The following is a 24,723-nucleotide window of genomic DNA, read 5'->3' on the forward strand; positions in this document are numbered from 1 at the left end:
TTCCCTCTATCTTGGGTGGGGTCAATAAATACATAATGCTCAAACATTTCTTGGGTGGTTCAGATGCCTTTTGTGAGCCCTCTTGAGGCATAACACACCTTGTTGCCTTTAGGCTTTTGTACTTACTGTGTCTGGTATGTGTACCCCTTTTACTAAGAATAAGGTGCCTCTGACTTTCCCATTCTGGATTTGGTACTGTAGGAAGTCACCACCACTGCAGCAGATCAGTGTCAAATTATCTAAAATGTAGGAAGAAAAGGAGCACATTTCAATTCTGGCCAACTATTTATAAAAGCATTAAGTTCTTTTACTTCAAGGCATTTAACATTTTGCAATTTGGGGTTTACTGGTTTGCTGTCTTCCCTATTAAGCGCCTTAAGGCTAAATTCTATATCCTCAATGTCTTGTCATATAATCTTTTAATTATATTTATAATATGGTTGAAAGTTACTTCTCTTTAGAAATTTTCTTTACTGAGACCGGGAGCAGTGGCTCACGCCTGTAATCCCAGCACTTTGGGAGGCCGAGGGTGGCTGATCACAAGGTCAGGAGTTTGAGACCAGCCTGGCCAATATGGTGAAACCCCGTCTCTACTTAAAATACAAAAAAAAAAAAATGAACCGGGCATGGTGGCGGGCTCCTGTAGTCCCAGCTACTCGGGAGGCTGAGGCAGGAGAATCGCTTGAACCCAGGAGGTGGAGGTTGCAGTGAGCCGAGATCACGCCACTGCACTCCAGCCTAGGCGACAGAGTGAGAGTCCGTCTCAAAAAAAGGAAAAAAAAAAAGAAATTTTCTTTACTGAACTAAAGCATCTCTTACAAGGTGTCCATTATAAAGGCCACATTACATGAGTTGTTTTCTTACTGTGCCATTCATTTGGATTCATCTGCCTTTGCTACTTGGACATTTTAGACTGGACTGCCTTCATTTTCTGTAGGTTTTAGCTGGAACTTAATTTGGTTTACTCCAAGTAAGTTGGTAGGTGACGACATTGTTGGATGGATCCAGAAATGAAACCAGGAGCAAGCAGGTTTAGTTCTGGATTTTTGGTTAAGTATTTTATTTAGTGAATCATTCCTAATTCATTTAGATTTGAATGTGTGGTTATGTTTTTCTCAGGACATTCAATCCTTGTGCATTTTAGTTTTCCCATTGGTAAAATGAGATAATAGGCTAGGTGACTGATCTCTAAACTTCCTTCCAACTCTGAAATTTCTGCTATTCCAAGTAAAAATGCACAGGGATCCAAATATTTAGGTGTTGTTATTGATCGTCGAGAAATAAGACTTGTTTTATGTTTTAAGATCTCCCATTTTATAAATAACTTCATTCAGACGCACAAAAAACCTTTGGTATCTGTAAAAGTTAATTTCCTTTTCTTGATTACCCTGATTTTTTTCTGGAGCTTTTCATTATCTGTTCCTTATTTGAGTGTAATCCAGAAACTTCACTGAAGCAGATGTAGGGAGGCTGATAAGTAGATGTAACTTGTGTTGTAATGAAAGAACTTGCCAAATGATTTTTCTCATTGTGCTGCTAATGCATGAAAAAGGTTAAAATGATAAAATCTATATAAATGAATGATTATTTTGCTTTTAAGTAGCATTTAGGATGTTTTTGTTTTCATTTAAGCACCAAGGATGACATTGATCTTGATGCCTTGGCTGCAGAAATAGAAGGAGCTGGTGCTGCCAAAGAACAGGAGCCTCAAAAGTCAAAAGGGAAAAAGAAAAAAGAGAAAAAAAAGCAGGACTTTGAGTAAGTATATTTTAAATATATTTGATTTTTATTTGTTTTGGTACTGGATTCACTTAATAAAAACTATACCAGTGCTTCACAATGTATTTTAATCCTTTTCTAGTGAAGATGATATCCTGAAAGAACTGGAAGAATTGTCTTTGGAAGCTCAAGGCATCAAAGCTGACAGAGAAACTGTTGCAGTGAAGGTGAAAGACAGACCTTTGTTACCTATTCGTATTTCGTATTCTATTCTTTCTTCTTAATGTTGGTTTGGGGAGCTACATTTGGAAACTTTTGAGCAGTGTACAATATGTTATTTAAAAGCTTCTATGAAATCTGATGTCAAAGGGAAAAATAGGAATGTAAAGGTATTTTGTGGTATGTTGATTGTTCATAAAATTGGTACATTTGGAGTTGTGATGTAATCACTCGTTCCATCTTCAGTTTTCTCTGTTGTTTCTTTTTCATCCTTCGAATTTGGATAAGCCTCAGAGTAATGGGAAAATCATAGATATTTTTTCTTCTTTCAACTTGTCCCTTAGGCTTTGTAAAGTTAGTAAATGGGTGGTGACTAGTGCCTGTTTCAAGAGCCCCTGGATTCTGCAATTTACAATGATGCGAGATGTGTCTGAGGCCAAGGCCAACCTCTCTTGCTTGTTTGAATTTTATATTCCTGTGAAAAAGACTTTGAAAAAGATTTTGAAATCATTTTGAGATTTTTAAAAAATGTTTACTTAATGAAGCACATGACTCTGGTCTCAATTATAATTCTGTTAATTTTTTCTAACAATGGAAATTTTTTAGCCAACAGAAAACAATGAAGAGGAATTCACCTCAAAAGATAAAAAAAAGAAAGGACAGAAGGGCAAAAAACAGAGTTTTGATGATAATGATAGCGAAGAATTGGAAGATAAAGATTCAAAATCAAAAAAGACTGCAAAACCGAAAGTGGAAATGTACTCTGGGAGTGATGATGATGATGATTTTAACAAACTTCCTAAAAAAGCTAAAGGGAAAGCTCAAAAATCAAATAAGAAGTGGGATGGGTCAGAGGAGGATGAGGATAACAGTAAAAAAATTAAAGAGCGTTCAAGAATAAATTCTTCTGGTGAAAGTGGTGATGAATCAGATGAATTTTTGCAATCTAGAAAAGGACAGAAAAAAAATCAGAAAAACAAGCCAGGTCCTAACATAGAAAGTGGGAATGAAGATGATGACGCCTCCTTCAAAATTAAGACAGTGGCCCAAAAGAAGGCAGAAAAGAAGGAGCGCGAGAGAAAAAAGCGAGATGAAGAAAAAGCGAAACTGCGGAAGCTGAAAGAAAAAGAAGAGTTAGAAACAGGTAAAAAGGATCAGAGTAAACAAAAGGAATCTCAAAGGAAATTTGAAGAAGAAACTGTAAAATCCAAAGTGACTGTTGATACTGGAGTAATTCCTGCCTCTGAAGAGAAAGCAGAGACTCCCACAGCTGCAGAAGGTTGGTTAATACTTTAGAGGAAAGAGCAAAAGGCTTTTGATTCACAGTATAAGTTGTAATCATTGTGCCCCAAGGTCGTTTTGTTATTTGTCCATGGGTATAAAGACACTTGATTGTAAGGAGCCATCTAAAAAATTACGTCTAAGTATTTGACTTGATTTGCATTGTTAATTCTTTACATATATAGTATAAATATCTTTCAGATTATTTATGTACAGACTGGAATTTTTATAGAATTGCATTATGAAAACTATTTTTTTTGCTGTTGATAAAGGCTATAGAAGTTACTTAATGAAAAATTTATTCTTCCTTTCTGATAACTCAGTGTCAGATAATATTTGAATTCTTTCCTGTCTTTAAAAACCTAGTTCAATTTATGAAATTCACAAAGAAATGTTTTCATGAAGTTGCTAATATTTTCTGCTTCACTTAAAACTCAACATGCTAAAATTAGTGTCTTTTAAGCAATAATGAGCCATTTTTTTAACAACCAATTATAAAATAAAAGTTCTAGCTAATTTCTTCCTCTTATTTAGAATGAAAATAGCTAAAGATCAGATGGTTTGCATGGCCATACTATATTCTTAAAACAGTAGTTTTTGGGCTGGGCGCGGTGGTTCACGCCTATAATCCCAGCACTTTGGGAGGCTGAGGCAGATCACGAGGTCAGGAGATATAGACCATCCTGGCTAACATGGTGAAACCCCATCTCTACTAAAAATACAATAATTAGCCGGGCATGGTGGCGGGCGCCTGTAGTCCCAGCTACTCGGGAGGCTGAGGCAGGAGAATGGCGTGAACCCAGGAGGCGGAGCTTGCAGTGAGCGGAGATCGCACCACTGCACTCCAGCCTGGGCAACAGACTGAGACTCTGTCTCAAAAAACCAACAAAAGCAGTAGTTTTTCTTTTGACTGGAAAACTTTTAATGGGAAAATTGACACAACTTTTTTTTTTGAGACGGAATTTCACTCTTGTTGCCTAGGCTGGAGTGCAATGACACGATCTCAGCTCACTGCAACCTCCTCTTTACAGGTTCGAGTGATTCTCCTGTCTCAGCCTCCCAAGTAGCTGGGATTACAGGAGCCCGCCACCATGCCCGGCTAATTTTTGTATTTTTAGTAGAGATGGGGTTTCGTCATGTTCGCCAGGCTGGTCTCGAACTCCTGACCTCAGGTGATCCATGCACCTCAGCCTCCCAAAGTGTTGGGATTACAGGTGTGAGCCACCGTGCCCAGCAACTTTTTTAAATGCTAGCATATTTATTATCTGGATATATTCGAGGAGGAACACCATGAAAGTACCTTCATAGCTTTTAATTCTTTAGAGTTCTTGGAGTATAACTACCTATATTTTTGTATTTTATCCTACTAATACCCCCTAAAGTGGACATCATTCTCATTAACTCCATCTTGTAGAAGTGAAATTAGCTACAGAACTTACGTGGGTGTTAGTTCATTCTGATTGTTAGAACTTCATATAAGCATCTGTTGGACACCAGCCACTCAGGTACCATGGATTTAGAGATACATTAGGTACAGGATTGCCCTTTTGCTGCTGACAGTATCCTTCTGTCTTACTGTATTCCTCAGGACATCTGAGACCAACATCAGTATTGCAGACTTCTCAGGAGGCCATCTGTGAGTTATTCTGAGCTATTCTAGTTACCAAAGTGCTCAGGATGCCTTGATGCCTGTAGAACTTAGCCTGCTGCTGGCATCGGCCTTGGCCCATTATGGTCCTTGAATTGTGGTTGGGTTTTGCTCGTCATCACCACAGGGAATTGTTTTTTCATTTCAATGCTTTGCCTTTATTCTTTTTGGTAGATGACAATGAAGGAGACAAAAAGAAGAAAGATAAGAAGAAAAAGAAAGGAGAAAAGGAAGAAAAAGAGAAAGAGAAGAAAAAAGGACCTAGCAAAGCCACTGTTAAAGCTATGCAAGAAGCTCTGGCTAAGCTTAAAGAGGAAGAAGAAAGACAGAAGAGAGAAGAGGAAGAACGTATAAAACGGCTTGAAGAATTAGAAGCCAAGCGTAAAGAAGAGGTATGTTTTCATGAAGTTGGTAACATTGATATTGTGTTTAACTTAAAATCTATTCTCTGTAAAATATCTTTACTCTTCTAATTCTGAAAATTTCATAGTTGCATGGTAATTCAGTTATATTATTGTTCCGATACAAATAATAAGATGAAGAGGTACAGCACATCTTATCTTTATTTTCTCAAGAACAGATTGCTCGATACATAAGTTGCTTATGTATCATTGCCAATAATCTGATGTGATATTAATTAATAATCATGTATAACATTTAAAATACTTTGATTTGGAATCTCCTAACATAATACTTTGCATGTGTCTCAAGAGATTTATTTGAAGTTTGGATTGTTTACATTTGAATTTTATAGTTCATTAAATGAATACAGGTTTTGTCTGACATGTACTCTTTTATAGGAACGATTGGAACAAGAAAAAAGAGAAAGGAAAAAGCAAAAAGAAAAAGAAAGAAAAGAACGCTTGAAAAAAGAAGGGAAACTTTTAACTAAATCCCAGAGAGAAGCCAGAGCCAGAGCCGAAGCTACTCTTAAACTGCTACAAGCTCAGGGTGAGTGGTACTCTTCATTAACTGAATGGTCAGAGAGCTCTGCACATGCAGTTATATCCCTTAATGTTCAGAAGGAGAATGGAATTTGCATCAGGACAGTTCCTATGAAAAATCTGTGAAAAAGTTCAGTAAAACGTAAGGAATAGGTGATGTCATTTCATTGTTTAGGAAGATGACATCTACATGAGGATAAAAATTTATATGTAAATGATAGTATGTCTAAATAAGTTATCCTCCCACAAACAAGAATAGTGATAATAATAGAATGAGTCCCTGTGTACCTATCAGCCAGCTTCAACAATTAGGACCATTTGACATTCTTGTTTTGTACCTCTCCATCTACTTTTTATCCTAGCATGTTTTAAAGTGAATCCCAAAAAATAAAAAAGAAATACAGTGATTCCCAGACAGCATATTAGTTTGCCCACATGACCACGGTGAAAAAGTATTCATGACCATTTTTTTTTAACCCTTTCCTTACTTTCTGATGCAACAAGATATCCCAGGTTCATCTTGCATGGGCTGAGACCTGGAATCGGTTGTTTATCCAAAGAGCTTTTGTTCCTTTTAGAGGGTAATAGTGTTTAGAGATCACAACTGGGCATATAATTTATTACTTTTTTGAAAGGTAAGGTGATTTAAAATAGTGTCTTTGCTCCAATGAGAAGAATATATTGGGACCTCTCTTAAATTTCCTGCTCCTATATTCCCTAGATTTTTATATTACAGTCATTTTGGTGTTTATGCTATAATTACAGTAATAGCTACCATTTATTGTGTGCTTAGTGTGTAACTGATGCTACAATGTCTTTGACATTGTCTATTTTTCCCTCATAAAAAAATCTTATAGCTATTTTTACTTCCATCATATAGATGAAGAAATGGTGGTTCAGAGTGTAAACAGCTTACCCAAGGCCACAGAGCTGAAATTTAAGCTGGTCTGTGCAACTTTTTCTTACGCATATGTTCAGCTAGGAACATTAGATGTGAAGAAACCCAGTACTTAGATTTTAGAAAGTTTTATTCTTAATGGAGAATATAGCTTTTGTAAAATTTTAAATGAAATTAGGTACAAACTTGAATATAGTTAGCATTCATACATCAGATTTCATTGGTGACTATTGGAGAGGCTAAAAGCACCCATGAAGAAATTCAGATGGGACCAAGCAGGGAGTAATTTGCCAGTCTCAAAAATGCTGTTTTAAGGAGCAGTTAGACTTGTAGTTATGGAAATTACAGTGTAGAATGGTGGACTTTTAGCATCAGTCTTTAGCATTAGGCTTGTAAGAGATGCTCTCTCAAGTGGCATCCCTGACGCTGGTCTCTTACTCTTCATAGTGTTGTCCAGTGTTTACCATCTTATTAGTTCCCTATTGTCTACTAATAAGAATCCAAATTCCTTAGCTTGACATTCAAGGTTCCCCCCCACCCACAGCCCACTCATGTGAGTCATCTCATTAAAAGATCCTACAGTGTTGTTTCATCGTATGTTTGAAAGACAGCTGCTTACCACATTTATTACCTAGAATATTGTAAAACTTATTCATTGAGCTAAAAATGTACTCTCAGAGAGTGTAGGCATCTGCAGGTGTCTTCATATAATTGCTCTGAAATGTGCAGCAGGTTAACTTTTCAGTCATCCTTTAGCCTGTGACTACTAAGCATATACACACACACACATATATGAGTACTTTATCAATAATTTGTAATAAACTCATTTCAGGCAAAGAGCTTCTTCAAGAACTTGATTGTTATGTCTCAGTTTGCAAAGTGAATGGAATGTCTAAACACATACAAGTCTTGGTGTTGATTCCAAGTACAGCAGCTTATTTGAGAGTCTGAGACTAGAGCAGTAGTCAGTTGATTAAGTCTAGGGTGTTATTGGGACCACCCTTCAGGTAATCCAGCCTACAGTTTCCCCTCAGGCCCATGCTTTTCATCTTAGTAGGTGTAGGCTGCTAGGCAAGGAAAACTTAAAGTGATGATCTCTGCATTCTCAGCTGGCTTTATCCTCTTTCTTTGGTTTGTTTAATGTATTCGTCTTACCAGTCATAGCTATGGTTTTACCATTCTAGCCATTCTTCAGTACATGCACAACACACATCCATATACATTCCTACGTTAGAGATAACATTTTTAGTCATTTTCCTTTATTAGTGACTTCATTCAAAATCCCATGGTATACAATTTCTGTTGTCTTTATTCTAAGGCTTCTGCCCATAGTGAGAGACTGAGTCAGTAATCCAGTAATCTGTAGATTCAGTTCAATCCCAGTCAAAATCACAGCATGGTATTTTGTAGCTATCTGTCAACTAGTTCTAAAATGGATATGAAGAGACCAGAGAGTTAGAATGGCCAAAATATGTTTGAAAAAGGAGAACAAACTTAGAATACCTGATTTCAAGACTTAGTATAAAGCTATAGGAATTAATACAGTGTGATATTGCCAGAAAGATAGACAAACAGATAAATAGTCTATACATGGTTAGTATATAGGTGAAAGGTAATTCAGTGGATAAAATACAGTATTTGTAGCAAGTGGTACTAGAACAATTGGACATCTGTATGCAGAAAAACCCAAAACCAGTTTTAATTCCCACTGTATAAAAATTGACCCAAATGGGTATCATATGTAAATGTAAAATATACAATAATACTTTCAGAGGAAAACATAGGAGGATATCTTGTGTTAGGCAGAGTGCTTAGATAGGACTCTAAACCATAAAAGGAAAAAAGATACATTTTGAGAAAGACCAGTTCAGAACTTTTCTCTGCAAAAGACACTGTCAAGAGAATTCCAAGACAGTACCTCCAAGTCAGATATCTGAGAAAGAATTAACATCCAAAATATATAAAGACCTCTCAAAATTCAACTATAAGAAAACCAATAAGTTCATTTAAAAATGGGCAAAAGGTATCAACAGACACTTTCACCAGAAAGCTATACGCATCTGAAAAGAATGTTCTAAAAAAAGAGAAACCTTTACCACATTCAGAGCAGTTGAAACTCTTTTTTTTTTTTTCTCTCTTTTTTTGAGACAGAGTTTCGCTATTGTCCAGACTGGATTGCAGTGGCGCAATCTCAGCCCACTGCAACCTCTGCCTCCCAGGTTCAAGTGATTCTCCTGCCTCAGCCTCCTGAGTAGCTGGGATTATAGGCACCCACCACCACAATATATATATATTTTATATAATACAATTTTTTGTATTTTTAGTAGAGATGGGGTTTCACCATGTTGGCCAGGATGGTCCTGGACTCCTGACCTCAGGTGATCCACCCACCTCGGCTTCCCAAAGTGCTGGGATTACAGGCGTGAGCCATTGCGCCTGGCCAAAACTCTTCTGCATTAGTGGTGGGAATGCAAGATAGTATAGCCACTTTGGAAAACAACTGGCAGTGTCTTTATAAAAATTAAGGTCATATTTACCTTATGTTTCATCATTCACACTACAAAATATTTGCCCAAGAGAAATGTTCACACAGAAACCTGTCTGAAAATGTTCATACCTGCTTTATTCATAATTGCAAAAAACCAGAAACAACTCAAATGTCCTTCAGCTGTTGAATGGATAAGCAAACTGATATATCCATACAATGGAATGCTGCCCAACAATGAAAGTAAACGAAGTATTGACATGTGCAGCAGAGTGAGTGACTCTCAAATCCATTATGATGATAGAGGCCAGACCGTAAGATTCCATTTATGTGACATTTTAGAAAAAGCAAATCTTTTGGTTGGAGAACAGATCAGTGGTTACCAGAGGCTAAGAAGGTAAGGAGGGTTTGATTACATGGAGCAGCACAGGATGATGGAGTGATGGAGCTTTTCTGCATCTTCATTGTGATGGTGATACACGTATCAAAACTCTCACTGTATGTGAAACGAGGATTTTTACTGTATGTAAATTTTAAAATACCTTATATGTAAAAGATACAAGTTTTTCCATGAATATCCTTTCATATTTTAGGGTATGTGTCTCTGTGGTGAATGAAATGCTATCCTTTAAATAGTACTTCTCAGGTGACATGCAAGTAGTATAAGCCTGAAGTTTTTCATTTTTATCCCTCAGGTGTTGAAGTGCCATCAAAAGACTCTTTGCCAAAGAAGAGGCCAATTTATGAAGATAAAAAGAGGAAAAAAATACCACAGCAGCTAGAAAGTAAAGAAGGTTTGTATACAAAATAGCCTCTAATTTAGGAAATATGTTGTTTGCCTTTCCCCCACAATCTTCAAAACAGTGTCTGTAAAGAAGAAAGGAAAAAATCCGAAATGCATATTGAAACTTATTTTCTAAACTTATTTCTTATTAATGCCATTATTCTCACTTGATTCAAATGACAAGCTAATGGAAAAAGTATTTTACTTTGAAAAATCTGGGTTCTACCCTATGAATATTGTAACTGTTGTTAACTCTGAGAAGTAAAACTACCATTCTTATCTTTTCTTGGTTTCCTTCTTAGCCTTCTGTGATTTTTGTATTTTATTTATTGAGCAGAAAGAGTAGTTTCCTGTAAAACATATGACTATATTTAAACATTTTCTAAACTTGAAGAAATAGGTTTGCACAGGCTGGGTACAGTGGCTCACGCCTGTAATCCCAGCACGCTGGGAGGCTGAGGCGGGCGGATCACCTGAGGTCAGGAGTCCAAGACCAGCCTGGCCAACATGATGAAACCCTGCCTCTACTGAAAATAAGAAAATTAGCCTGTCATAGTGGCAGGTGCCTGTAATCCCAGCTACTTGGCAGGCTGAGGCAGGGAGAATTGCTTGAACCCGGGAGGTGGAGGTTGCAGTGAGCTGAGATTGTACCACTGCACTCCAGCCTGGGTGACAGAGCGAGACTCCATTTCAAAAAAATAAAAAATAAATAGGTTTACACTACTGTTTTTTATTCAGTACTTAATGGAGTATCTTAACAGAAATTATACACCAAAAAAAATATTATCTTGGTTTCTGCCCCTTTTTCAGTGTCTGAATCAATGGAATTATGTGCTGCTGTAGAAGTTATGGAACAAGGAGTACCAGAAAAGGAAGAGACACCACCTCCTGTTGAACCAGGCGGGTAGTGTTATCTGATTATTTAATTAGTGAATTCTTATTAAATAGTGTTGGTGTGTCATAAGTTGTCTTAGTTATTATAAATAATTGGGGAGAACCAAATAAGTATCTGGCTGGATGGCCCTCTTTCTTCATAGTTCTTTCTTTTCTATTTCTTTTCATTTCTACTTTGAATAAGTATCCAAGTGAGACTTGAATCAGTTGTGTTCTTTTCAGCAGTGTTAGAAAATGTTTTGTAGAAAGGATACACTTTGGGAGGGTGAGGCAGATGGATCACGAGATCAGAAGATCAAGACCATCCTGGCTAACACGGTGAAACTCCATCTCTACTAAAAATACAAAAAATTAGCCGGGGGTGGTGGCGGGTGCCTGTAATCCCAGCTACTTGGGAGGCTGAGGCAGGAGAATTGCTTGAACCTGGGAGGCAGAGGTTGCAGGGAGATTTCAGTGAGCCTAGGTTGCACCATTGCACTCCAGCCTGGGCAACAGAGCAACAGTCCATCTCAAAAAAAAAGGAAGAAAGGATAGTAGGTTTTGGATTTTCTCTGATGCTTTTATTTATGAGTCAGAAATCTCAAAAAAAGATCTGAAGGTCTTCATTTAATGCTTCAGAAGCAAATTGGAAGGATTTTTAACTAGAACTTTTTAAGAACCATAAAAATTGGCATTTTTAGACCTTCCTAAAGGTCGGCTTCTATTTACAATAATCAGAGAATTCAACTTACTCATTGTGGGGTATCTGTGTATATGTTGAGGAGTTGGGGAAAAATCTCTGGTTTTAAAAAAAAAACATTGTTCTAACTCTTACGACTAGATATTGATGGGAGAGCTGGGGCTGCCTAAATGTATGTTTGGTATTCAAGAGAATCCCCAGCGATTAAAGATAGGATCAGGAATGGGAAAAGCCTTTACAGAATACTAAGCCTGATTTACATTGGTGAATTATATTATTGATAGTTCCTTTCCTTCTTTTTCTCTTTTCTCTTCTGAGCGAATAGGATCATCTCACCTGGGTAGACCTCAGCCTAGCACTGATATGACGAGATTAGAGAAATTTAGATTGATATGCTTAATAGCAGTCCACTATTTTAGATCGTATTTTTAGCACCAGAAAGAATTGCTAATTTAGATGGATGTTTTGGGTACCTGAGTCTCATTTCCTCCTCAAGATAACTTATGCAGGCTTGTTAGTAAATAATGATTATTTCAGGGAAGCAGGTACCACATGTCCTACCCGTCATCTTACTTTCATTTAAGAATAGTTGTGCCTGGTTAGATTTCAGTAAAGAAAAGCATTCTTGTTAAGAAGAGTATTAGGTCTTTAATGTCTAAATAATATTCAGAATTTTAGCTTTCTGGCTGTTTTGGGGTTATGAGCACAGCATTGACCCAGAGTGATGGTGGTAGTTTTGTACCTTCAACTTCAGAATTTAAGTATATTTAAATACCTGTAAAGGTTAAAAGCAAAATAATAAATTCCTTGCATAAAGTATGAGTTGGATGATCAAAAAGAAGATATATATGAAATTTCATTTGTTTTCAAGAACTGAGTATATTCATGTAGCTTTTTCAAGATCTAAAGAAACATTTAAATTAATTAAATTAATGAAACAATTAGCTTGAATGTAAAATTGGTTAAGTTTAATATGTTGGCAGTAGTAGGAAATGGAAGCATTTAAGTAATAGTAAATTATAACATGCTAGCTATATTAAAAAGATAGTTCTGGCTGGGCGCGGTGGCTCAAGCCTGTAATCCCAGCACTTTGGGAGGCCGAGGCGGGCGGATCACAAGGTCAGCAGATCGAGACAATCCTGGCTAACACGGTGAAACCCCGTCTCTACTAAAAATACAAAAAATTAGCTGGCCACGGTGGCGGGCATCTGTAGTCCCAGCTACTTGGGAGGCTGAGGCAGGAGAATGGCGTGAACCCGGAAGGCGGAGCTTGCAGTGAGCCGAGATCACGCCACCGCACTCCAGCCTGGGCGACAGAGCAAAGACTCCGTCTCAAAAAAAAAAAAAAAAAGATAGTTCTAAAGATAATAGCTGCATACATATTTTTTACATAATTAAAACATTCTTTTTTTATGTCAGAGCATAATTTTTTACTTTTTTCTAAAAGACCTTCATATTTCTAAATAATTTTTGTGTCTTAAATGCAAATTTTTACTTACAGAAGAAGAAGAAGATACTGAGGATGCTGGATTGGATGATTGGGAAGCTATGGCCAGTGATGAGGAGACAGAAAAAGGTGAATACCTCATAAGCACACACTGATACATCCAGTGGTTATTAGAAATGAATGATATATATTTAAATGAATAGTCTTTTGATTATGAAAGCCATATGAACATTTCTGGGGATAGGGATAAGTCTCTTGTTCTCTCCTTTGCCATGGTTTCTAAGTCCTCAAGTGGATCTTCATTTTGTGAATGAGTGGTTCCTCAGAATGTTATTTGTAAGATAGCTGCCTAAGGTTTAGAATGCATTTTTTCAGAGTGATGATGTTACAAAATAGGGTTGTTACTAAAGCTGACCTACAAAAAGCACTGTTAACTTAAAAGGTAATGAGATAAATACTATAGTTCCTGATAAGTATGAATAGAAAGTAAACGTTTTTGTCATTGTTTCCCCTTCTTTATTACTGAAATCTCTACTTCGAGATTTAATTTCCTGTTAATTTTACTAACTTACTGATAATGATATCTGGCTCTTTGATTTTTTTCAGCCTCCCCCCATCTTTGTTTTTAAAGCTATACCTTTTTCTTTAAGCATGGCTTTAGTCAAATTCTGTAAGTCTGATATGTTGATATTTTCTCATTTTCATTTTGATGTATTAAGTTTTACAAGATTTATTTAGTGTATTTCTTTTTTTTGAGATGGAGTTTCACACTTGTTGCCCAGGCTGGAGTGCAGTGGCGCAATCTCGGCTCACAACAACCTCCACCTCCCGGGTTCAAGCCATTCTCTTGCCTCAGCCTCCAGAGTAGCTGGGATTACAGGCATGCGCCACCACGCCCAGCTAATTTTGTATTTTTAGTAGAGATGGGGTTTCTCCATGTTGGTCAGGCTGGTCTCGAACTCCCGACCTCAGGTGATCCGCCCGCCTTGGCCTCCCAAAGTCCTGGGATTATAGGTGTGAGCCACCACAGCCCGCCTAGTGTATTTCTTAATTTACAAAAATGGGCATTTTCTAATTGTCTTTTGTTACTTCATTGTGATCAGAGAAGATACATGATTCTATCCTTTGAAATATGTTGATTATTGCTATACAACCTAGCATGGTCAGTTATTGTAAGTGTTTCATGTTTGGAAAGAATTTATATTCTGCAGTAGTTGGATGCCTTGCTTTCTATATTTAGGTCAAGTTTGCTAATCATTTTGTTCAAGTCTTTCATAGCGTTCTGAGGGTTTTTTTGTTTTTGCTTTTGTTTTTTTTCTGATCTGTTTTTTCTCTCTGTTACTGGGACCAATGCCTTAAAATCTCCCATCATGATTGTAGATTGTCTATTTCTCCTGAGTTCTGTTAATTTTTGCTTTATGTATTTTTATGCTGTGTCATTAGGTAAACACAATCTTGTATCTTTCTAATGAATTGACTCTTTTATCATTGATATATATATTTCTAACAATGCCTTTTGATATAAAAGTCTACCTAAAACTCATATAGGTACACGAGCTTTGATTTACATGATCTTTTTCTATCTTTATGACTCTTTTTGTATCCGTAAATAGCATTATCTTAGTCCATTTGTTCTGCTGTAACAAAATACCACAGACTCAGTAGTACTAAAGAACAGAAATGTGTTTCTCACAGTTCTGGAGGCTGGGAAGTCCAAGATCAAGGCACCAGCATTGGTGCCTGGTAAAGGCTGCTGTCTGCTTCCAAGATGGCACCTTGGTGCTGCATCCTCCAGAGGGAAGGATGGCTGTGTCTTCACATGATGGAAGGGAGGGAAGGGCAAGAGGAGCAAACTCTCTTTGAAGGCACTTTTCTGCGGGCGTGAATCCATTTATGAGAGTGACTTAATCACTCCCCAAAACCTTCCCCACCACCCTCCTACCTCCTACCAGCAAAATGGGGATTATGTTTTAAACATGAATTTTAGAGGGGACACCATTTACAAATCACAGCTAGGATCTAGTTGAGATTTTTTCAATCCAGTTTGTCAATCTTTATATTTTACCTAGAGTACTTAGCCTGTTCATTAAATGTAACATTTGGTGTAATTAATGAAGTATATTGATTTTAAACATTTCATCTTACTAAGTCGTTTTTTGTTCTGCCTGGTTCTTTTTCTCTCCTTTCTAATCATCTTTTGGTTACTAGGTTTTTAAATTTTTATTTTTTTTTCCTTTCATGAGCTTAGCAGTTGTATACCTTTCAAACAACTTTTTAGTGATTAAGAAAATTTTTAGCAAGTACCTTTGAACTAACAATGTCTGATGTTATCCTCTAACAATGCAGGGACTTTAGAGTACTTGAATGACATTTACCCAATACTCTATTTAGATATCATTGCTCTCGGCCAGGCATGGCGGCTCACACCTGCAATCCCAGCACTCTGGGAGGCCGAGGTGGGCGGATCACTTGAGATCAGGAGATTGAGATTAGCCTGGCCAATGTGGCAAAACCCCACCTCTACTAAAACTAGAAAATTTAGCTGGGCGTGGTGGCGTGCGCCTGTAATCCTAGCTACTCAGGTGACTGAGGCATGAGAATCGCTTCACCCTGGGAAGCAGAGGTTGCAGTGAGCTGAGATTGCGCCACTGCATTCCAGCCTGGGCGACAGAGCGAGACTCTTACCTAAAAAAAAAAAAAAAAAAAAAAGATATAATTTTTCTCATTTCTTTTCATTATCTATTTAAAACCTCAAATTAGCTTATATTTTATATAGTCAATACTTACTATTTATAAGTTTACCCACATTCTTAACATTTTGTTGCGCTTCGTTTCCTGCATCTTGTACCTTCCATTTGAGATCATTTCTTCCTATCTGAAGAACACTTTAGAGTTTTTTTTAGTATGGATCAGTTAGTAAGACATTCTGTTTTGCTTTCTAAAAACATCTTTATTGCATCTTCATTCTTTAGTTTTATATGTTTACTGAGTGAGGAATTATTGGTTGAAGTTTAACACTTTGAAGTTATTATTCCCTTGCCCTGGCTTTCATTGTTCCTGTTGAGAAGTCAGGTATCAGCCTAAATTTTTCATATGGTCTTGCTTTTCAGCAGTTTTATCATGACGTACCCAGAATAGGCTTTTTAAAAATATATTCTACTTGTAGAGCTTTATTAATATATGGTTTTATGTTTTTATCAGTTTTATGTTAGGAGTCATTTTCTCCCTCAGAATTCCAATGATGTCTCTGATAGGCCCTCTTATTGTATCATTGTTTCCTATTTTCTTTTCTGTATTTTCCACCTAGTGAGTCTCTGTGGTTCATTCTGGATTGCTTCTCTTGACTGTCTTCTAGGTCACTGATTTTCTCCTTGGCTCTTTCTATTCTGAGGTTAGATCCATCTTTTGAGTTCTCAATTTCATTTGTTATATTTTTCAGTTTTAGTATTTCCATTTAACTTTTTTTATAGTTTTAATTCACCTTCTAAAATTTTAACTTTGTCTTTTGCTTCTGACTGAATGTTAGAAGCACAGCCATTTTAAAATTTTGATTTTATGACTTTATTAAAGTCCTTTTGGTGTTTTATATGTTGGTTCTTCTCACGTAAATTGTTTTCTCATGTGCCTTGCTATTTTTATAGCTGGATATTTTGCTTGGAGAAGTAATTTGAGGTCAAGGATGATGTTTTCTTTTCTCCAGAGCTAATTTATGTGTTACTTCCACAAGGTACCTGAGTGAACTAGCAATATGGAATAATCTTATTCTAGATTTAGAATCCAGAGGATCTGAAGGTGATCTGCCAATAATGGGGAGATCCTGTTTATTTCTTATTCATCCTTATTCCTAGGGTACAGCTCTTCATGATTGTACCCCACAGTAAGGGTGTAACCCAATGTCTGCTCACTGCACCCCACTGAATTCTTAGTATTTTGGTAGGTCTGGACTCCCAATGCAGCTTAGCCTTTCATCTGCCTCTTCCCGAATCAACAAATGACCATAAGGGGAAAGTGGTACTAAAGACTGTTCCACCTCCTTGAGTTTTGTTCTCCCATGGATTCTGTCTTACTAATACTGACTTCAGTCTGGATTACTGCCTTAAGGTTTTACTGTTAAGTGACAGATTTCGTTTTAGCATATAGACAAACACCTTGCGTTTATGATGTATGAAAACACCATGTTACTGCCTTAAATACAAGTTGAGCCTCTGAAATTCAAAAATCTGAAATCTGAAATGCTCCAAAATCAAGTTTGAGCACCACTACGTGACGCTCAAAGGATATGCTCATTGGAGCATTTCGTATTTCAGGTTTTTCCGATTTCAGATGCAAATATTCCAAATTAAAAAAAATATGAAGTAAGTATAGAATGCAAATATTCCAAATTTTAAAAAATCTGAAACAGTTCTGGTCCAGGCATTATCTCCTCCCCTTACTTTAAAGCAGGCTTGTCCAGTCTGCAGCCTGTGGGCCACATGCAGCCCAGGATGGCTTTCAATGTGGCCTAGCACAAATTTGTAAACTTTCTTAAAACGTGAGACTTTTTTTTGTGATTTTTATTTTTAAGCTGATCAGCTATTGTTAGTGTTAGTGTGTTAGTGTATTTTATGTGTGGCCCAAGACAATTCTTCTTGTAATGTGGCTCAGGGAAGCCAAAAGATTGGACACCCCTGCTTTAAAGTCTCTTATCTTGATATAAATCTATCATATTAATGTTTATTTATTTAAAAATATATTTGCTTTCGTAGTAGAAGGAAACAAAGTTCATATAGAAGTAAAAGAAAACCCTGAAGAGGAGGAGGAGGAGGAAGAAGAGGAAGAAGAAGATGAAGAAAGTGAAGAAGAGGAGGAAGAGGAGGGAGAAAGTGAAGGCAGTGAAGGTGATGAGGAAGATGAAAAGGTGTCAGATGAGAAGGATTCAGGGAAGACATTAGATAAAAAGCCAAGTAAAGAAATGAGCTCAGATTCTGAATATGACTCTGATGATGATCGGACTAAAGAAGAAAGGGCTTATGACAAAGCAAAACGGAGGATTGAGGTATTTATTTTACCGTTTCTCTCTACTTTTCTTCCCACTCCTCTGTGATGATTAAAACAGTACTCTACAACTAAAGGCTTTGAACAGCACTTTATGTATTCTCAAGAATAGAACACCGTTCAGTTTTTGTAATGTTGAAATATTACTGGCCTTTGATACTGGTCTTACCCAAGGACCCCCCGTCCCCGCTCTTACCTAAGATAGAATGGTGTGACTACTTCATTTTTTTCTTGTTTTCTCCAAATTTTAATGTACTCTTTGAGTGATAGTTTATAAGTATGCAGAGGTATTCTGAGCATATGCCCTCTGCTTATAAACATCAGTTATGTGTTTGCCTCACATATTTAGGTTAGTCACCATGAGGCATCTGATCACTATAGTTATATAAATCTGGTGGGTTGATGAGGCTTCTATTTAGTAAAGTCCGATACCTGATAGACTTTCTGTATTTTTCCTACTTAATGCAGTAGATTTCAGTATGCTTCAAGAGAAAGTTTTCTTTAGTTCTGTCAGCTTAATGTAAATAATACATTAAAATCTAGTTTGCTTGAGGATATTAAACTATTTTAAAGCTAAAAACTATTTTAGCTTTCCTTTTTGTGTATTATTAATTTTTTAATTTTTTGTTTTACTACCTATATATCAACATTTGCTTTTTCTCCTGTAAAGTCTAGGTATGGATAAATTGTCTAAATTTCTAAAGGACTAAGAGGATTTGTTATTCTAAATTAGGGTTTCTCAGCCTTGGCACTATTAAAATTTGGGGGCCAGATAATTCTTTGTTGTTGGGGACAGGGACTGTTCTCTTCCTTGTATGATACCAAACAACATCTTGGCCTTTGCCTACTAGATGCCTGTAGCATTCTTCCCCACCTGGCACCTCAGTTATGACTGTCTTTTCCCGTAGCACCTACTCCCACCAGCTCCCTTGCCATATACCCATGTTCGAGAGAGTGATGGAATATCTGTACTGTGCTTGCTGATTAACAAACAAAATAAGTATAAAGCAGAAGAGTTTCTCAATTATCCTGCTCCCTAGATTAGTTAATGGTAGTGTGTATGAGCTTCATGTTTTTAAAAATAAAGGCCCTAGCCCCCAATATAGTCATATGAGGGGTTAGGGCTTCAAGGTAGGAATTTTGGGGAAATGTTCAGTCCATAACAAACTTCATGGATCCATAAACCTTGCTACATATTATGATTTTCTGAAATTCACTCCATTCCTGGGTCAGAATCTCCATTGTGGAATGGGGTTTGTATTCTTGTCCTGTCATTGCTTCAGTATACTTAGAATTTCTGAGTCAGTTTGTAACTTATTGCCCTCCAAAAATTTTTAACACTTCACTAAGTGTGGGAGAGAGAGGCAGTTTTCAGCCATATCAAATAAAGTCATGATGTTTGAATTTGAGTTGTATGTACTGTGAGGTTGTCGGGTACTACTCTTTGCTAGTGATTAAGTCCTACTTTGTGCTCATCCCTGGCATCTCACTTTTGGTATTTTAAAAAGTTTTTCAGTTTCAGTTTCTACCAAAAAATCTAATGTCTAGTACTAGAAATGCAAGTAAAGGGTTCTTACAGAAATGGTTTTTAGATGAAAAATAGTTTTGTAAATGACATTACTTCATAGTTTTTGCTTCAAGTTTATCTAATTTGAATGCCAACTTTACTGTATTTGAGAGGTCATTTCAAAGAAAACCTATTGCTGGCATGTGTTTTTGGTCCTCAGAAAGCTGAAGCATTTAGGTAAATGCAACGGAGAAGCACGTTGTGGTTCAAGGAAAAGCTTTCTCGCTCTTACTGGTGTTCATAAAGTGGTAGAGCCTTGGAAAGTCAGGACATGTTTTACTTATTTAAGCTGAACCTTAAATAAACAGTCTCCTCCTTGAAAGGTTTTATAGCATTTGTATATTGGATAAAAGTGTGAAATAAATTGCCTTTAAAAATCTTTAAAATTCTTAGGTTCCAGTGAATTTTTTAAAATGTACAAGTTCACCTGTTTTTATATAAATCCTCACACAAATTCAGGGTTGCACTATATAGTCAGTATGATGGGAAGATTGATTCCTTTTCTAGTCATTATATTCCATTAAAGTAACTGTGTACAAAAGTATTCAAAAATTTTGAAATGACACTTTACAATATTCCTATTCGTATTCAGCAGTGCTGCTGTGAAATCTAAACAGGTTTTTCCTTATCCAGAGGTGCTGTGATGGGAATTCGATTGTAAAGTTCACATTATAAATTCCAATTATGTGTAGTCAAATCAACAAAGAACTTGGATGCAGGTTGTAGCATTCTTTTGCCAAGGCAAAACAGAAAATAAGGATAGTGAGGATTTGAAATAATATTTAATTTTTGATTTTTTTTTTTTTTTATTTCTAGAAACGGCGACTTGAACATAGTAAAAATGTAAACACCGAAAAGCTAAGAGCCCCTATTATCTGCGTACTTGGGCATGTGGACACAGGGAAGACAAAAATTCTAGATAAGGTAAGAAAGTATTAAATGTATTGATAGAACTTTGAAAATAAGTGAATGGTACCTTATAAAAAAAAACTTTAGAGACCAATAGGACATATAAGCAATTCTGCTTACAATAAATAAGTTGCTAATTTCTTATTATTTTTGCTGCTATCTTTTCCATGTTCAAATACCAATCTGTATTTGCTGTCTTCTCATAGCTCCGTCACACACATGTACAAGATGGTGAAGCAGGTGGTATCACACAACAAATTGGGGCCACCAATGTTCCTCTTGAAGCTATTAATGAACAGACTAAGATGATTAAAAATGTAAGTACATTGTATTTCATGTATTTTAATCTCTGACAAAAATTAAGATATGAACTATTTCAAACATAGAAAAAGGACAGAGACTAGGATAACAGCTCCATATACTCACCATTCAGAATTAACATGTACTATTTTGCCTATTTTGCTTTAGATCATTCTTTTTAAAGAATAAAACACTACATATTATAGGAGCTCTCACATTCCATTTCCTTCCCTCCCTCTCCCAGAGGCAGCCACTATTCCACAGTTAGTCATTTGCCTCCATGCTTTAACACTGATACCATTTATCCCCATAATTTAAAATTTTGTTTCCTTCTCTACTCTTTTCCCCTTCTAATCTAATCAATTTCTTTTCTTTTTCTCCCATATTTTTCTACTTGTTTGGAGGTATTCAGTTTATGTATGTTAAATGTAACACAGTAAGATAAATGTAAAGCTTAAAGAATCAGTATAATACACACCACCCTTTAAGTGTCACCTTTGTTGAGCAATATAACCTTGCAAGCTGCTTCAGAAGCCCTCCAGGTGTAGCTTTCCAATCAAAGATCTCTTCTCCAGCCACAACTTTTTAAGATAATCTCTACCTTTTAATGTGTTAGGAGTTGCAAAATGTTGATACTCGAACTCCATCAGCCATTATTGGATTACTTCTATAGAGAAACGTTACCTAATCTACTATTTGATTATTCAGTGATGGCTTATTTAGGAAAGGCAGAATTAATGCCTGATCCTTTACCTTCTTTTAACCAGCTTTTAAAATAAAAAGTGGCCAATATGATTTTTTTTTTCTTTTGTTTGCCCTTCATAGAGACAGGGTCTCCCTATGTTGCCCAGGCTGGTCTTGAACTCCTGTGCTCAAGTGATCCTCCCACCTCAGCCTCCCAAAGTGCTGGGATTACAGATGTGAGCCACTGTGCCCAGCCTGATTCTGTTTTGTATTATTATGAACTCATGGATTTAAACATATTTACTGTGCATTAGTCCATTTCAGTTATTATTGTGCTGAGATAGTCCCATCTTTGCCCAGTGGTTGGCTCTTGAATCTTTCTCATACAATTCTGGTTGTCCTAGTTTTGGTTGCATTCATGCTGTCTGATATAGCAGGATGTTCCCGGCTCATGTAATATAGAAACTACCCAGACTGAGAACTGGGCCTTGTTAATAATTCCTCAGTTTCATTATCACAGAGCAGGTGAAAGTGGTAGCTTTGGAACTGAGAAGCAGTAAGTTGAAAAACAAACAGAGCATATGTTATTATATGCTAATGTCCCCTTTTATTCCTTATTGAGTCTTAGTTCTGCATGTAAAAAGAGTCTATGAGTTTGTCTCTCCAGTTTTTGTTTTGTTTCTTTGTGACTGGGTTTTATGAAGCGTGTCTTCTAGTCAATTTCTAAGGAAGGAATTAGAAGAATTAACATTCCTTGAATTTTTGAATATTGAAGAGTTATTTTGTGGCCTTTATACTGGAAAGTCATTGGCCACATATAAAATCCTTGGTTGACATTTTCATTCCTTAAGTATCTTGTGTCCCATTTATTCTCGCATAAAGTATTGCTGTTAAGTTTGATCATCAGCTGAATTTCGTCTTTTTATAAGGCCTATGATCGTTTTACATCTTGATGTCGCTTCTGAGTTTTCCAGTTATGTGGTGTTCTATTATAATATGTAGTAGTGAATTTTTATTTTAGAACAGTTTTCTTGAATTATAGCTTTTCAAATTTATAATTTATTTTCATCCTATTTTAAACAGTATTTCTATGTTTTAGTCACTAGAGGAGAGGGTTCATAACACCTTATTCCACCAGTTGCCAGAACTTGAACTCTCGTTGTTATTTTAGAACGTAAGGAACAAGATTATTATTAGGCCTGTATTAAAGTTCTTGGGATAACCTTTATATGACAATTGTAATTACTTACTGTTAGTATATAAGACACTAAAGTGGAAATAATTATGGTGCTCAGTGAACCAGAATGCGGATCTGAAATGTTTTACGTTGCATTATTTTGATGTAGATCAGGATACCAAATTTTGGAAGATCATTTGAAGATTAGCAAAAAGAAAATGTAGATAAGCATAATACAAAAAGGGGGTGTGTGTGTGTGTGTGTGTGTGTGTGTGTGTGTGAAATTAGTTGGTCAGTGTTACTTTTTAGACTAAAAGGGAATGTCCAGATTAGATCTGTTGTAATGTTACTTCCATTCATTTATGTCCTTTTGTCCAGAAAGTCAAGCATTTATGACGTTATTTGAATACAACAGGGTATGCATTTACTCTTTAACACTTTTGATCAATGTGGTAAATTTACTTTAAAATGTACTTTTGGGATATATTTGAAGTCAGAATTGCTTTAAAATTGGACCACATAAATTTTCCCAATGCTGAGAACCACCTCTTGCATGTCAGATTTCTATAGAATATTTCAGATGACTGCCCTGCGATTCGTATCACCACTTACTTAATAATCTGCTCAAACTTGGACTACAGTCATAGTTGTAAGACCTTAAGAAAGGAGATATTTTCTCATTTAGTATTTTTTTGTTAAAATGCCTTTGGATTTTAATGAAAATACTGACAACTGTACTTTGCTGGTTAACTCACTGTTTCTAAAGCCATTTATATGGAAAAGGGAGTAGTGATACTTTCAGAGTTTTATGGCAAAAGGATTGTTCTGTAAAGAAGCTTTCATGTCTGACTTTCTTAAACTTTGAACTTTTCCCCATTGTTTCTAGTTTGATAGAGAGAATGTACGGATTCCAGGAATGCTAATTATTGATACTCCTGGGCATGAATCTTTCAGGTAAGAGCAATTTGAGTCTTTTCTCATCAAGCAATCTACTTGAAACCATTAAGTCTAAAAGTTCAGCAGAGTCATTAACCTTTGAGTAGTAATTTGATCTCTATAACTACCACTCCACCTTTGTACCTCATTGATTTAGTAATGTTTTCTTTGAATACTTGTTTTTTATAGAGGGAAGTCTTTACTGCTTTAAAAGAGCACCCCCTTAATGTGGAATGCAGAAAACATGCTAATACATGCCAGGCCTATCTCCTGTAAAACCCGTTACAAGTGGAATATTATGCTGTTGTCTCTTGTCCATATTCTTTAACACAGAAAACTTGGTCAGTAAAATTATTAGAAATATTAGTTGGTTCTAAAACTAGCTCATTCCACTTGAGGTCAATTCAAGTGATTGGTAGATGAGCCTTTGGCAAGTTAAGGGCTAATAGTACTTGAACAATTTAATACATATACTCTATTTTGTTTGGGTTTTACAGAGAAGTTTAAAAGTTTAAGAAAAGTATTAATTTCAAGATTTTCTACTTATAGATCTTTTCCTTCTTTTCAACAGTAATCTGAGAAATAGAGGAAGCTCTCTTTGTGACATTGCCATTTTAGTTGTTGATATTATGCATGGTTTGGAGCCCCAGACAATTGAGTCTATCAACCTTCTCAAATCTAAAAAATGTCCCTTCATTGTTGCACTCAATAAGGTATGTGCGCCTTCTGAAAAATTAACCTAGGAAAACATGTTTCTTAATTTTTTGTGATTAAAAAAAGTAGTATAATTAACTTACAAGCATAGCTCATTTTATTGTGCTTCACTATATTGTGCTTCACAGATATTGTGTGTGTGTGTGTATTTGTGTATAGTTTTTTTTTTTTAAATACAAATTGTAAGTTTGTAGCAGCCTTGCATCAAGCAAGAGTATTAAGTCTGTTGGTGCCATTTTTCCAACAGCTTGTGTTCACTTCTTGTCACATTTTGTTAATTTGCAATATTTCAAACTTTTTCATTATTACATTTGTTAGGTTATCTGGGATAAATGATCTTTGTTATTTTAATTGATTTGGGGTGCCACAAACCACACCCCTATAAGATGGCACACTTAGTCAAT

General features: G+C 36.2%; 1 protein-coding gene across 1 annotated transcript in view; it reads left to right on the forward strand.

Moving 5' to 3' along the window:
* The window catches only part of EIF5B (eukaryotic translation initiation factor 5B), a 63,938-nt gene that overhangs the window by 21,215 nt on the left and 18,000 nt on the right, over positions 1 to 24,723 (forward strand). Inside the window, exons 2-14 of the mRNA NM_015904.4 lie at positions 1,633 to 1,758; positions 1,862 to 1,946; positions 2,545 to 3,217; positions 5,042 to 5,259; positions 5,668 to 5,818; positions 9,890 to 9,988; positions 10,789 to 10,878; positions 13,053 to 13,127; positions 17,744 to 18,033; positions 20,416 to 20,523; positions 20,715 to 20,825; positions 23,556 to 23,623; positions 24,177 to 24,318. Of these exons, the coding sequence (NP_056988.3) occupies positions 1,633 to 1,758; positions 1,862 to 1,946; positions 2,545 to 3,217; positions 5,042 to 5,259; positions 5,668 to 5,818; positions 9,890 to 9,988; positions 10,789 to 10,878; positions 13,053 to 13,127; positions 17,744 to 18,033; positions 20,416 to 20,523; positions 20,715 to 20,825; positions 23,556 to 23,623; positions 24,177 to 24,318 (2,236 nt within the window). The remainder of the gene's footprint in view (positions 1 to 1,632; positions 1,759 to 1,861; positions 1,947 to 2,544; positions 3,218 to 5,041; positions 5,260 to 5,667; positions 5,819 to 9,889; positions 9,989 to 10,788; positions 10,879 to 13,052; positions 13,128 to 17,743; positions 18,034 to 20,415; positions 20,524 to 20,714; positions 20,826 to 23,555; positions 23,624 to 24,176; positions 24,319 to 24,723) is intronic.

The sequence above is a fragment of the Homo sapiens genome, chromosome 2 (genome assembly GCF_000001405.40).
Source record: "Homo sapiens chromosome 2, GRCh38.p14 Primary Assembly".
Taxonomy (NCBI): domain Eukaryota; kingdom Metazoa; phylum Chordata; class Mammalia; order Primates; family Hominidae; genus Homo; species Homo sapiens.